The sequence below is a fragment of the Homo sapiens genome, chromosome 15, assembly GCF_000001405.40.
Source record: "Homo sapiens chromosome 15, GRCh38.p14 Primary Assembly".
Classification (NCBI taxonomy): domain Eukaryota; kingdom Metazoa; phylum Chordata; class Mammalia; order Primates; family Hominidae; genus Homo; species Homo sapiens.
Window position 1 is genome coordinate 70,288,422 of NC_000015.10, and position 14,840 is coordinate 70,303,261.

The window sequence follows — 14,840 nt, forward strand, 5'->3', positions numbered from 1 at the left end:
CCAGACTTCCCCAGACACCTCCGGGCTCCTGGAGCCCGTATTTTTCATATATCATTTCTCATGTGTCATTTGTCATACAGTTCACAATAATTGGTTTCCAGGCCTATGTGCCTTACTGTAATGTCAGCACCCAGCATAGTGCCTGAAAGTAGGGATTATGGAATGAATGAATGAATGAATGGGTGGTTTTTACCAGGATGGGAGCTGAGGAACAGCTTTTGTCTTTTACACATCCTGTTGAGTTTCCAAATTCTGTATAAGCATGAGCTGTGCCTCAGTTTTCTCATCTGTAAAATGGGAATAATAACAGCTCCTACCTCACAGAATTATGTAGTGAGGATTAAATGAGTTACTACAGGTAAAGCATGTAGCAGTTATTATTATTTCCAAATCACGATATTGTGATAAAGGAAGAAAATATATTCCAGTGAGTCTGAATCCAGACCCCCAGGCAGTGTCTCCATGACTAACTTTTCTTTCCTGTGACTTTTCAACAGACTAGGGCAGGCATTGTAGTTGAGGGCTGGCAAGGTTGTCAAAGGCCCCTGATCCTCCAGACTTCAGAACCCCTTTTCAGGCCTCTCTCTCCCGTCAGTGACTACACTGGGTAGGGTGGAGGAGCGGGGAGGATCATTTAAATGAGAAGCCCAAGTCAGAACACAGCACAGTCTCAATGGGTGAGTTGGACAGTTATACGTCAACCTCCAAATCTGACCATGGAGAGAGAATTGGGGGCACAGACCTTTCTTTGAGTGTCTTCAAGCCACCCCCCCCCCCCCATAGATCCCTGCCTGGAATGAGTCAGGGGAATGTCTTCGCCTTGCTAAGGTCCAGTGTCCTCATCTGCCAAGTGAGGATAGTGACTGTAAGCAGGAAAGGAAATGACAATTCAATGAAACCATGAGGAAAAGAGCTTTGGAACCGGTAATGCATTGGCAGAGGTTAGCAAACGGTCAGCCTGAGGGCCAGAACATTGATTTGCATTTGAATTACATCGGACACATCAGGACTCTCCAGTTGCCCCAGTCCCCACCACTCCCTGTTACTTACTCCAGCCTGCTCCACACTTTCACTCCTGAAGGCATGTGAGTTTGCCACCCTTGCTACACAATATTAGTTACCAAGGTGCCTGCTCTTCTGTCAACTGCCTGCCTTGAAGAGGCAGCCAGCAGGGGAGAGAGGAGGTGTGACTCTTTGAATGCCTGGGGCCACTCTGCTCCACCTGTCTTGGCACTCCACTGAGGTCCAGGCCAAAGCCCCATCAGTCTCAGCCCCAGTAGTTTTCCATGAGCTGAGAAGTCGCCAAACCTGCATGCTGCCAAGAAGACATGCCTTCCTTTAGCCTCTAGGTACGGAGAATAAATCTGCAGTCTCCTAAACTGCCAAATTCCTGGTCTGCTGGAGTCTGGGAGGCTAAATGGTGCTTACTAGTCTGGCTCCCAGATGCCCCAAATTCCACCATTATCAACACATTCCTCCATGTTAAGCATTGCGCTGTAAAGTTCAACGATCTAGTGGGAGGGGCAGGAGAGTGAGTCCAAACTAGGCTGGAGCAGATCTTTAAGGATAAGCTTCGGAATGGGGGGAGGCAGATTCTGTAAGCTGAAGACAGAACTGGTGGAGGAAGGGGAGAGGGAGAGAGAGACGGTGAGGTGTTTGAAGAGGAAGTTCCCAACCTTTTCAAGGGCAAGGGTGAGACAGGAAGGGAAGTAGAGGAGGAGAAGAGCCAAGAAGCAGGGTGGGCACCCAGGCCAGTATGGACAACCAGTCCCATGTTGGGAGCCGGCAGAGTCCACTGTGTTGTTTGCTAAGTGAGCAAATGACCTCCTGCAGGAACAGACGTGGCTGAAACCACCCCAAATTGCTCTCCCCAACCCCTTCTCCTGCTCTCTTCCATCCAACCCCCATACAAACAAAGGAATATCAAATGTCCCCTTGCTAGGAGGATTCTACTCCCACTGGGATAGAAAAAGGATATGTCGGACCCCCGGATCAGAGCATATCATCTGCTCTCTCATCGAAGGCAGGGATAGGCTTATAGGCCCCAGGAGATCACCCCAGGTCTGAGGACCTGTAGGTCTCATCGGCAACCTCCAGCCCAGGAGGAGCCACCTTTCTTAGGGTCTGTTCTGACAGCAGACCCTGACACATGCCCTTTTGTCCTCAGGGAGAAAGAGTCTTTGGGAGTAGAAGGGGAGTGAGGTGGAGAAATTCAGCTGCCTCCAGATTCCTTGACTTCGCTGTGTGGATCCAGGCAAGACACAACATCCATCCTCAGTTCCCTCATCTGCAAAATGTGCACAGCTATAGTATTTGCTTCATAGGGCTGCTGAGGATTCAAGGAAGGGGCTCTAGGGTAGGGATTTGAGTTGAACCTGATAGGATGGACCAGATTTTGATGGGTGTTTCAGGCAGGGAGCCAAGGCTGAGGGCAGGGGCTGAGGAATACAAGGCATGTCTGGGGCATAGCCTGTGGTCAGAGAAGAGAATTCTGGAAAGGCAGGCTATGGCTTTATTACCGAGTATCTTCACTGCCCAGCTAAGGACCCTGGACTTGATCCCATAAGCAGCGGAATGCTGTTGAGGGATCCTTGCATCTAATAGAGGCTACCAACGCCCGAGGGCGTGATTTGTTCCAGGCCCCAGGGGACGCTTGGTTGCAGTTTTATCTGTCAAATCAGTCAGAGGGAGTCCCCTCCATTAGGGTCAACAGTGACCCCCAACCCCTTCCCTTCTGCCTCTTCTATTTCTAGGACCTGACAGTGACACAAGATAGACCTGGTCTCAGACATTGGTTCTGTCACATCAGTAGGTGACTGGGCAAGACCCTTAACCATAGGAACCTCAGTTTCCTCATCAGAAATATGGGGGAATAACATTGTCCTCACAGGGTTGTGAGAATGACATGAACTGGCTCATGTGGGGTCCAGGCCCAGCCACCCCCTGGCAGATGCTGGTGGTACCAGACATGTCCTTTTCCTGCCGAGCGGGCAGGGCTGCTGGCAGCAGGCAGCTTTCACACTAATTGCCCACAGCCTTCTCCTCTGTGGCTCTGCGAGCAACAAGACAGCGAATGACCCGTGACTGGAAATCTCGAGGCCAGGCTTAGGCCTATTAGAAAAATATGGAACAATTATGAATGGCAGGAAAATTGTTTTTCTTTGTTTGCTTTGGCAGAGAGAAGAAAACCCTCCTGGAGCCTGGATTTAAGGTGGGGAGAAGACAGGGAGGAGACTGCAGTGTGTGCCAAGTGTCCTGGGAAAAGAACTCATGTTTTTTGTGGCCCTGCTAAGGCATGGTGCAAGACACCTTCATCGATGCAGCAGGGGCTCCCCAAGCACCTTCTGCACACCTAGCGCTGATCTGGGGGCAGGGACACAGCCAGACTGTCTGCCCCAAATCTGGGTTAGTCCAAAGTTGGAGCAGACAGACAAGGTCCCTGCCCCCAGGGAGGAGGAAAGGTAAGATGAATGAAAGCAAACAATAAGGAAGAATCTCAGCGATGACTGCTATGAGAAAGTGGAGCCAGGTGAGCTGTGAGGGAGGGGCATGCACTAGGGGCTGGCGGGGGGTACCTGAGAGAGGAGATCTAGCCTGCCATTCCAAATGGGAAGAGCATTTTGGGTGGCAGGAACTCTGCCAGAATGCTCACCTGCACCCTGGCCTCTTGGCCTCACCCGAAGCCTAGGCTCTGAATTTTGTTTTCCCCATTGTACAGGCAAGGAGACTGAGGCTTAGAGAGAGAAAGTGCTTTGCGCAAGGCCCAGGGCAGTGGGAGGATTGGAGCCAGCACTCTAAGGACTGCAGTCCTTTCTGCGTTCTAATCTTTGTGCCTTGGATCCAGACCAAATGATCGGGTAATTGACACGTCACTTCTTCCCAGGCCCAGTGAAGGGGGAAAGTTGGTGTGACGTTTTCCAGATCCTCCGCAGGAATGGCCCACAAGACCCAGAGCCTGGCAAACTGCATGGGCAGTGCCCAAAATTGCCACCCCAGGAGCAGAGGCCACTGATGTGCAGCAGTTCAAATGTTGCCCTAGAAGGTGCTTCTCCAGGACTTCCCCTGCGAGCCTGTGTGGCAGGAAGCAAGACAGGATAAGGGCAGGTGTCTGTCTGCCTGAGCAGCATAAACCGGGGAACCTTCCGCCGTGCACAGACCTGTCTACTGGAGGGCTCCTGGCTCAAAGACGGACTGGCCAGGATCCCAGGGGATCCCCCAGCACCTAGTCTCTGTGGTCTGAGAGGTACAGGAATATTTGGGAGTGGTGAGTTCCCCCTCCCTGGAGGTGACCAAGCCCAAGCTGAAGGGGAACCCTGCATAGTTAATGGCCACCCTCAGCCCTCCAGCCCCTTTTATGGGGTTAGTCCAGAGTTGGAAGCATGTGAGCCCACAGGGCATGGAAATGTGCAGAGGGCTCTGCAGACCTGTGGATTCACACTGACGATTAGGTGATGGGACCCTGGGGAAGTGCTGGGATCCACGGCCAGAGATCTCCTGACCAGTTTCTGATAACTTATTTATCCAAGGACAGCATGTCCTGTTACAACATAATTCCACAAAAAAAAAAAAAACCTTTTAACATTCCTTATGCTAATGAAGAAAACCTAATGTATAGATAATAATTTATTTATTCAGAAACATTGTATCACTATTTTAAGTTGAATTACCACAAGAACAGTTTAACACCTAAGTGGCATCCGTGGACCAGCAGCATGGACATCACCTGGGAGCTTGCAGAAAGATTCTCAAGTCCTACTCTGGACCTTGAATCAGAATTTGTGCCTTAGCAAGATCTTCAGGTAATTTATATGTACACGGAAAAGAATCAAAAGGAGGTATAATCATGACTCTCATACAGATATAGAATGAGCCTGGATCAAAAGTTTTATTTCACTCATTCATTAATGAGGAAACCACTAAGATGTTACAATCAATTCAAAGGAGAATGCAAAAGTAGACACATAATATAGGTCATCAGGAATCTGAAGTGAATTTACAAACAGATGCAAAACTGGCAAAAAAAAAAAATCTATAGGGCAATAATCAGTTGCATTGCATTGGACATAATTTATATTTATATGGACAAGAATCATTTGCATTACCATCAGTTTTTTACAATTTGCAGAATTGTAAAATAGCTCAGATAATGAAAGACTGAGAAAAAACAAAACCCCCAGAAGGGTACGCTGGGACATCCAGTAGTCTATCTCTTTCCCTTTCTTTTTTCCCACCATTTTAGTCTTTTACAGTTTTTCTTGACACGCATTACAGCTTGTTAAGCACCTCTTAGATCACTTCTGGTCTCTGGCATGCCTGAACACAGAGAGTTTCTCCAGACCAGGACTAGAGCAAACTTTTGAGTAAATCCCAGTGCCTGTCATGCTCTGCTTGGGAATGAGCCTGGGGGTGGGTGTGGGGCAGGGGCAGGCCAGGCCTACTGACCTGGTAAATTCTCATTTGTCTGAATCCATTACTACTATTACTATTGCACGCTGGGCCCAGGTGGAACTTTCATTCAAGATGCTATCAGAACATCTGAAAGGACAGAGACTCAGGTCTTCACTGAGCTTATGCAGTGTGTCTGGCTGTTTGGGACTGCTTGCAGTAATTGCCAGGACATGAAACTTGATTTTGTCTGTGCTTTGATATCACAGTGCCTGGTGTTGTGCCTGTAGGGGAAGATCCAAGCTCTCAATGGCCCCTTAATTATTGGTTATCAGTATTTATCAAAAGGAACTACTAGTTGTGAATAAGCAGAGTGGCTTAGGGGGCTGGAGAATGAGCGACTGGTTAGGACCCTCATGTCTGGTCTGGGTCGTTGCTTTTCTGGGGCAGTCCACCATGCAGGTTTAGAAGTAGACCCGGTATCAGACAGGTCTGGGGTTGAATCCCGGCTCTGCTCGTCTCTGGCTGTGTAACCGGACTGCTTGTTTAACCCCTGCTGGGTGCCAAGCATGGGGCCAGGAGTTGTGAGCAACCCAGTGGACACAATGGACATGAGGCTCGTAGTGTAGCAGGGAAAAGACATGAAACAAAACATCACACATGTTGTTTTGTAAGTTACCATCGTAGTAAGTGCCACAGAGGAAACATCTACTGTGCAAAGGAGCGTGCAATGGGAAGACCTTTCCTTGTCTAAAGAGTCAAAAGACATCCCAGGGAAAGCTTAGACTTAAGAGTGAGTTGCAGATGAGGTTGTTCAGCAGGCAGAGGAAACAGTAGTTGCAAAGGCCCTGGGGCGGGAAGGGTTGGTCTGCTCAAGTGATGCAAAGAAGGCTCCTGGGAGTGGTGGCTCTCAATTGTTTGTGGGCTTAAGAATATTGGTTAAAATGTACTTTCTTGAATCCTACCTCCAGAAATTCTGATTCCACAGGTCTAGGGTGCAGCCCAGGGATCTGCATTTTTAATAAGCATTCCAAGAAATTTAGAGAAAAATATTTCTTAGAGCCACATGTTGAGAAATATTAGGTTAAAGCCTAATGAGAATGGCACAAAATAAGGTGAGTCATTTAACTTCTCTAAGCAGCTCTTAGCTAAAGTATAACATAGGAGACAGGAGTTACAGGGTGGCAGGAAGATTGAAGGAGAGAAGCCACACACAGCATCTAGCATAGGGCCTAGCAGGCAGCGGGTGCTCAGCAAACCCCTGCACGTGTATTACTGCCCTTCCCAAGTCAAGCCTATGGAACCCTCGAGGTGTGAAGAAATGAGCACAAGGCCAGGAGTCAGGCAGCCCATGTTCTAGCCTCAGCCAGGGGCCACTGACTTGCCACCCCACCTTGGGCAAGACCCTTTCCCTCACTGGGCCAGTTTCCCCACTGTAAAGGGAGAGAATGTGATTAGGTGACTCCTACCCCTTACCTATCCATCCTCCCATCTTGAATTCTCATGCCTTGCCACCCAGGGCTCCCTCACCAAATTCAGTAGTCCTCAGCCAGGCTGCCCATTAGAGCCACCAAGAGGGCTTTTTCAAACGCCAGTGAAATCAGGAACTCTTGGGGGTGGATCCCAGTGTTGGTAACTGTTTTAGCTACCCAGGCAAATCTAATAAGAACCAGCACTCTCATTTCTCAAGTATCCCTCTTGTCCATAAGAGTAAAAAGGGGCTCGGAGGAAACATCCTGCTCCTCAATTCTGACCTGAAATCTCAGGAAGAATCCAAGCCAGTAGAGCCTTAAGCTCCATCCAACACGACACCCCCACACAACACTGTTTCTTCACAGACAGGGTCTTACTCTGTCACCCAGACTGGAATGCAATGGTGCAATCATAGCTCACTGCAACCTTGAACTCCTGGGCTCAAGCGATCCTCCCACCTCAGCCTCCATAGTAGCTAGGTTCATGCCACTATGCCCAGCTAGTTAATTTATTTTTATTTTTATTTTTTGTAGAGACAGGGTCTCTCTATGTTACCCAGGCTGGTCTGTGACTCCTGGCCTCAAGTGTTCTTCCTGCCTCAGCCTCATGAAATGTTGGGATTACGGGCGTAAGCCACCATGCCAGGCCTAAACTCTGTTTTTTAATATCGTTTTAAATATAAATTTAAAAAACATTGTTAAAGTAAAAATCCATATTTAAACAAAATCAAACAATAAAAAGTGGCTTCTCACTCACCCCTGCCATCTCTGAAGGCCACTATATTTGGATTAATCAACTTTATTGAGGAATCATTTATATACCATAAAATGTACACATTTAAATTATAGAGTTGGGTGAGTTTTGACAAATGTCTGCTGCTGTGCTCCCACCCCCGGTGAGACATCACTGTTCACAGTTTTTGTTTTTCTTCCTTTGGTGGTTTTTTCTCCTCTGGTGTTTTTTCCATGTCATGTGTTAATACTGATGTTTTTCATTTATCAACTTTAGATCAGGTAGCAGATAATTAATCCTTCAACCAGGAAACTGTTGAAAGTGAAAAGAGACAGAACTAATAATCACAGGACAACAGTATAAAATAAGCCTGTCCTGGGCAACTCAGGGTGTGCAGTCAACCTCACATCATCCATTTATGACCAGCCACGGTGGAGAAGGACTTAATTCATACGCCCCATCTCTAGCTCCCTTCCTCTGCCCAATGTGTGCTACTTTTGTACCTATTTTAATGTCTCTATTGTTTAACTTTGCATATGTAAATAATATTTCTGGGCCTCTATTTCTGGAGCCATTCGGTAAGATAAGAATATTAGTATTCCTATTTTCCCCCCATCTTTGTCCACCTCTATCTCCCAATTTCTTATTTCTTTCATCTTTGTCTTCTATTTTGTCCTTATTATTAAGCCTTTCCTATTTTGTCTATGAAAATGAGGCTCAGTGTTTATGTTGTTGATTATGTGACTTTGTTCCCCAAGGAGTGTATTGTGAGTGATCATAGTTCCTTCTCTATGGTTACAATATCATTACTCCTGTGCCTCTAATAATCAAATGCTTCCAGCATCAACAGTAAGAGAATTGTCCTTTCTTACTCTCTACCAAGTCTTCCAAATCACGTCAAATTTTAGTTTGCTTTATATTTGAACCATTAACTTCTTTTTTTTGAGAGAGAGAGAGAGAGAGGTTCTCATTCTGTTGCCCAGGTTGGAGTGCAGTGGCACAATCACGGCTCACTGCAGCCTTTATCTCCGGGGCTCAAGCAATCCTCCCACCCCAGTCTCTGTAGCTGAGACTACAGGCGTGTGTCACCACTACCAGCTAATTTTTGTATCTTTTTAGAAACGGGGTTTCACCATGTTGCCCAGGCTGCATTAACTTCTTATCAAAGGTTTTTTTCTTCCTCCTTCTCTTTTGGTGTTTCTGATTATTTCATTTGCTTTGGAAAGAAGCACAGGCCTCTTCACCATATTCCTAATATCTTCCAGCCTCTTTTTGTATATTTCTCAGAATCTATTCCTCTCTTCTTTCCTGACATTCTACTGGGTCCCTGATTCTCTATTCTTGTTTGTTCAAAGGGTTTCCTGGACCTGCTGCACACAGGTCATTCTGGAATTCCTTTACATTATTAGATCCTTGAGTTAATTCTACCAGTTTTTATCCTGTAACATTCTTCCTCATGGTTTCTAAGCTGAAATATACATTCAATAACTTCTCAGAAAGGAAGCATGAGAAGTAAATTTCTGAGTCCTGGAATGGCTGAATATAACTTTTTTTTTTTTCCTTTACCCTTGACTGATAGTTTGGCTGTCTGTAGAATTCTAGGTTCAAAGCCATTTAGACTTAGCACTTAGAGATGGAATATAGTGATGAGGTTAAAATCCGATCTCTGGCATGAGGCTGCCAGGGTTTAAATTTTAACTTTACATTTCCTAGAACCCAGCAAGTCACTTAATCTCTCTGTGCCTCGGTTTTCTCATAAATAAGCTAAGATAAAAATAGTACCTACCTCATGGAGTTGTGATGAGGATTAACCAGTTTACATATGTAAAATGCTTAGAACAGTGCCTGCACATCGTGGGCGTCATGTTAAGTGTTGGCTATTATTCTCTGGGCCTCTATCGTTGCTATAGAGTATTATGATGTCACCCTTATTCCGGTTTATTTGTCAGAGTCAATGTTCTGGTTTTTGTGAGCTGATGTTCTAGTTTCCATAGAAATATCCAGGATCTGCTTTAATCTTTAATATTCTTAAATTGCTCAATTCTATATCTGCTTGATATTCTCTTAGCTCTTTCAATTTAAAGACTCGGTGTCCCTTTTTGGCTCTGGGGACTTTTAAAATGTAATTATTTCTGCAATAATTCCCTCCCCTCCATCTTCTTTCTTTTCTTGTTCTGGAACTCCTACTCTTAGTTGGATATTGGGCCTCCTGAATTGATCCTGTTTGAATATTTTTTTCCTCCCATACTTTATGCCATTGTCTCCATGTTCTGGGAGATTTTCTTAACTTTGCATTTCAAGCTTTCAATTGATTTTTTAAAATAATTTTTAGCAATAATCATTTCCAGGAGCTCCTTCTCATTTGCTGATTGCTTCTTTTCTGTGGCACTTTCTTTGGGCTTTTGGAGCATTGCTACTCCAGCCTTCCTGTCAGCTTGTGGGGACCCCAGAGATGTTTCTGCAGAATTCTTGGGCTTTTGGAAATAAGATTTGAAAATCTCTGACCTATGCATTTGATCAAAAAACTTTATGGGTTTATTGGGCCATTACCAAGATGAATGAGTTATAATCTATAATCTCAGCCCTCAACAAACTACTCTGATGCACAGACAAACATGGAAAGAAATAATGACAATAGGACAGGTGCACAAGAGGTCCTTCCAGAGGGAAAATAACCAACAGCCTGTTGGAGATCAAGAAAGAGAAAGCCCTTGAACTCTTCTTAAAGTAGTGTGCAGGAGAAGCTCATACGGGTTCATGAACGGACTGGTAAAATTTCAGGAATTTCGTGAGCTGGTTGTCAAACAGTTATTAAAAATTAACTTAGGCAAATTTACAATTAAATACATTATAACAAAAACAAAGCTAATGAATGCCAAAAATTCATCACTTCCTATTTATCCCATCTTTCAATTACCTATGCTGTTGAGGTTGTTTACATCTATTGTATATGTATGGCAGAAATACCATATGAAGGTGCGCTACTGAGCATCTCTGTTCAACACCTCCTGCAGTAACTCATGTTGGTGGCTTGAAATCAGCGATGGTGGGAATATTTACATCAAACAAATTGACAAATGCTACAAATCAGAGCCTGATTATTGTTTTGTTGATAGTCTAGAGTTAAGAAAATAATGGAGAAAATGTTAATGTAGATTATACTTAAAAGTATGTTGTGCTGGTAGCCTTTAATTGTAAATAGCATGAAAAAGAATTGAGGACATATTCTTCCAATATTCAAAAACTATTCTTTAATTCAGCAAATAAGTCACTTGTGTCATTGCCAAATGAATGAAATTCATGCCTCCATTGCTCCATTCCTATCAAACTTATTAATGTAAAAGAAAACAGCAAACATTCACACAGGAACTATACTTATTTGGTAATTGTAATAATAATTTAACTATAGATACAAAAGTTTAGGAAGTATCAACAAAAGCATCCTGTGAGAATCAATTTACTAGATAAAATTGATAATAAAAAATACGTATATTTTATTATTAGTTGTAAATTGTGTGCTACAATCCTTGATGGCAATAAACTTTATATTAACTTATGTGTGTATATATGTATACATATATTTGTTTCTGGAGAACCAGTTGATAACACTTACCAGCACACCACGGAGAATAGTGGAGCGTGCCCAGGCCTGTAATCAGACAAACCTGGGCTGGAGTTCCAGTGCGTTCATTTATAAGCTGTGTGACCTTGGGCAAGTTATTTTACCTTTCTAAGTCTCATCAATAAAATGAAACTGTGGATGCAATGTGCTAATATTGATTAAAAAATAGTATGTTGCAGAGGTTAAGAATTCATGCTCAGAGATTGGGCTGCCTCCATTTGAACCCTGGCTCCCCGCTTACTAATTGTGTCACACTGGCCCAGTTGCTGTTAGATGGTATATTAGTCAATGTTCTATCTGAGAAAGAGAGCCAGTAGTAGATGATATACATCAAGGAATTGGCTTATATAATCACGGGTTCTAGCAAATCTGGTCTGTAGGGCAGGCCATCGGGCTGGAAACTCTTGAGCAGAAGCTAATGCTATGGGTCACAGGTGGAGTTTCTTCCTCCTCAGGAAAACCTCAATTTTGCTCTTAAGGCCTTTCAACTGATTGGATCAGGCCCACCTAGATTACAGATGATAAACTCTTTTACTTAAAGTCAAGTAATTGTAGGTGTTAACCATGTCTACAAAATCCTTCACAGCAACGCCTAGATTAGTGTTTGACTGAGTAACTGTGGACTCTAGCCTGGCCACGTCAACACATAACACTAGCCTCACAGATAGGAATAGTGAAAGCAAACACTTTATGGGGTTCTTACAAGGATAGAATAGAGCAGTACTCAGAAACCACTCAGATAGCACCTGGCCCGAGTAAGTGCTCATTAAGCTACAAACCTCTGTTCTCGCTAGAACTAAAGCTTGCTTCCCAGGCAGCCACGGCACAAGGAAGGGCCAGGGACCCTGCATAGGAAGGTCTGGTTGGAGCCCCAGCACATCACTGACTGGCTGTGGAGATGGCTGCCTGAGGCCTTGCCCAGAGGAAGCTGAGAGAGAAGAGATGGAAGAGAGCCCACGGCTCTGGGACCCAGCAGAGCACATTCAGATGGAAACCAGCTATGACTGGGTGACACCTCTCAGGGCTCCTTGCGGGGCAGGACTGTCTGGCTTAGTGGTGAGAGACTCATGGCCGGAAGATGAAGTGGTTACAGGTGTCAGACAGGAGGGCTTGCCGACGGCGGGTGGCTGTGGTGCATGTTTCATTAGCTGCTGACTGAGGATTTCTGTTGCTTTCATTTGCTGCCTCAGCCAGTAGCTAGGTTTAAAATAAACTTCAGGAGATCAAACTCAAATCCCCAAACCAGCATCCCTAGGCCCCAGGCAGGCCTCTGGCACAACCATACAATCTGCAGAGTTTATCTCAGGCAGCTCCAATAGATGTCACCTTAAATGTCCCACTCCCCTCCCTTTGAGCCCTCTCCTCCAGCTCTGAGACCTCTGGCTCTTCCTTAGATTCCCTCCTCAAGTCTCTGTCCCAGCAAGCCCCATTCCCTCTGGGGCCTGCTCCCAGCTGCTAGCCTTCCTTACACCTGCTCAGCCTCTCACAGCAGAGCTGCGCAGACCTAAGAGGGCAATAGACAGAATTGACTGCTCTTGGTTCATGGCTTAAGGTGTCACCACTCCCAAGAAGATCTGGGGGCCCAGGAGAGAAGCCTGCCAGAAGAAGGGAGTCATATCGCTCAGTGGGGGGATGCCTGACCCCTGAGCCTCTGTGCAAGGCAAGACTCGAGCACAAAACACACTTGCACACAAGTGTCAGTCTCCTAGGAACTACCAGAGCTGGGAAGAGCCCAGAGCCATCTTGCCTCACTCTTGTCATTTTCACAGATGAGGAAAGCAAAGCTCAGGGAAGCGAAATGACCTGCCCTCCCTCTCACAGCTAGGAAGCCACTGGGTAACTGAGCCCACATCCAATTTCCTGGGGCGTGGACCTCGCCCTGCCACAGTCAGCAAATGAGCAGGGGCAGCTTCCCAAGGCAGGGAACCACCAAGAATTCCAAGCAGGCCACACAAATCTCTGATTCCTGCCTTCCCTGGGCAGCCCCACCCTGGCCCTGACCTGGTGGCCTTGGCAGCCTCCTGGCCAACCCTGCTTTCTAACTCGGAGCTGAACAGGCTGGGCCTCCAATCACTCCAGACGCATGAGGACTGAGCAGTTTTACTCTGGTTTGCCAGGGCATGGGGGAGTTGGAGCCAAGCTGTGCCCCTCCAGGGACAGATGGCCAACCTGGGAGGGCACTGCTGAGGCCAGTCAGATAAGTCCTGCCTATGGTAACCTCAGGCCTCACCTGCTTTTCACCTGGCTGCCTCACCAGCCCCACCACCCACTCACTGTGTCCTCTCCAATGGGACCTACCCTATACCCCAAGCCATGCTGTGGCTTTAAACATGCAGCCATGGCTCCCTTGGTCTGCAGCCTATTATTTCACTAACCCTCCAGCTTTCCTTTTCAGGTCACTAAATTCAGTGGTGCTGCCCCCATGCCAACTCCCACCTCTAGTTCCAATAGCACTTTATCTATTCTTCATAGTAGTTTTTGGTGTATTGTTTTAGTTTACACTTTCTGTTCTTTTAGACTGTGAGCTACTAGTCTCATATGGTTCTATTTATCATTGAATGCCAGAATCTAGCTGGGTGTTTCTGGTACCAGCTGTGCTCAAGATACTGTTTTGTGAGTAAGAAAAAGGATGGACAGAGGGTAGATGGATGTTGAATAAATGAATTGATGGATGATTGTTGGATAGCTGGATGCAAGGATAACAGAATGATGCAGAATAGATAGATGGGTGGATAGATGTTGGATCAAAGCATGGATGGATGGATGGATGGATGGATATAAAGATGAAAGTGCAGATGAGTAGATGGGTGGATATGAGATGAATGGGTAGATGAGTGGATGGATAGATAGATATGAGATGGATGGGTAGATGAGTGAATGGATGAATATGAGACGGATGGATAGATGAGTGGGTGAGTGACTATGAGATGGATGGGTAGATAAGTGGTTGGATAGATATGAGTGGTTGGAGAGTGGTTGGATAGATGAGGGGATGAGTGACTATGAGATGGATGGGCAGATGAATGGATGGATGGATGGATATGAGATGGAGGGGTAGATGAGTGGATGAGTGAATATGAGATGGATGGGTAGATGAGTGGGTGGGTGGATAGGAAGTGGATGGGTAGCTAAGTGGATGAATGGATGGATGGATATAAGATGAACGGGTAGATGAGTGGAGGGGTGAATATGAGATGGACAGATAGATGAGTGGGTTGGTGGATATGAAGTGGAGGGGTAGATAAGTGGATGAATGGATGAATGGATATAAGATGAATGGGTAGATGACCATGGATATGAGATGGATGGGCAGATGAATGGATGGGTAGATATGAAATGGATAGATAAATGTGTGAATGGGTGAATATGAAGTGGATGGGTAGATGAGTGGATGAACGGATGGATGGATCTAAGATGAATGGGTAGATGAGTGGGGGGTGAATATGAGATAGATAGGCAGATGAGTGGATGGGTGAATATGAGATGGATGGATAGATGAGTGGATGGGTGGATATGAAGTGGATGGGTAGATGAGTGGCTGAATGGATGGATGGATATAAGATGAATGGGTAGATGAGTGGAGTGGTGAACATGAGATGGGTGGGCAGATGAATGGATGGGTGGATAT

The 14,840-nt window shown here is 45.7% G+C and overlaps 1 long non-coding RNA gene across 1 annotated transcript, besides 5 other annotated features; it reads right to left on the reverse strand.

Moving 5' to 3' along the window:
• Positions 4,035-4,534: an enhancer, noted in NCBI's record as "H3K4me1 hESC enhancer chr15:70584795-70585294 (GRCh37/hg19 assembly coordinates)". NCBI's record gives its function as "activates a minimal SCP1, AML or CMV promoter by ChIP-STARR-seq in naive H9 embryonic stem cells {active_cell/tissue: H9 hESC(naive)}" and the evidence as "EXISTENCE:reporter gene assay evidence [ECO:0000049][PMID:30033119]".
• LOC105370878 (uncharacterized) lies at positions 7,641-9,465 on the reverse strand. Its single transcript, XR_932424.3, has 2 exons — positions 9,377-9,465; positions 7,641-7,902 (listed from the first exon to the last, which is right to left on the reverse strand). It is a non-coding gene; the product is annotated as an uncharacterized LOC105370878 (long non-coding RNA).
• Positions 12,038-12,167: an enhancer, noted in NCBI's record as "active region_9683". NCBI's record gives its function as "activates an Ori minimal core promoter by ATAC-STARR-seq in GM12878 lymphoblastoid cells {active_cell/tissue: GM12878}" and the evidence as "EXISTENCE:reporter gene assay evidence [ECO:0000049][PMID:35858748]".
• Positions 12,388-12,457: an enhancer, noted in NCBI's record as "active region_9684". NCBI's record gives its function as "activates an Ori minimal core promoter by ATAC-STARR-seq in GM12878 lymphoblastoid cells {active_cell/tissue: GM12878}" and the evidence as "EXISTENCE:reporter gene assay evidence [ECO:0000049][PMID:35858748]".
• Positions 12,478-12,577: an enhancer, noted in NCBI's record as "active region_9685". NCBI's record gives its function as "activates an Ori minimal core promoter by ATAC-STARR-seq in GM12878 lymphoblastoid cells {active_cell/tissue: GM12878}" and the evidence as "EXISTENCE:reporter gene assay evidence [ECO:0000049][PMID:35858748]".
• Positions 12,773-13,274: an enhancer, noted in NCBI's record as "H3K4me1 hESC enhancer chr15:70593533-70594034 (GRCh37/hg19 assembly coordinates)". NCBI's record gives its function as "activates a minimal SCP1, AML or CMV promoter by ChIP-STARR-seq in primed H9 embryonic stem cells {active_cell/tissue: H9 hESC(primed)}" and the evidence as "EXISTENCE:reporter gene assay evidence [ECO:0000049][PMID:30033119]".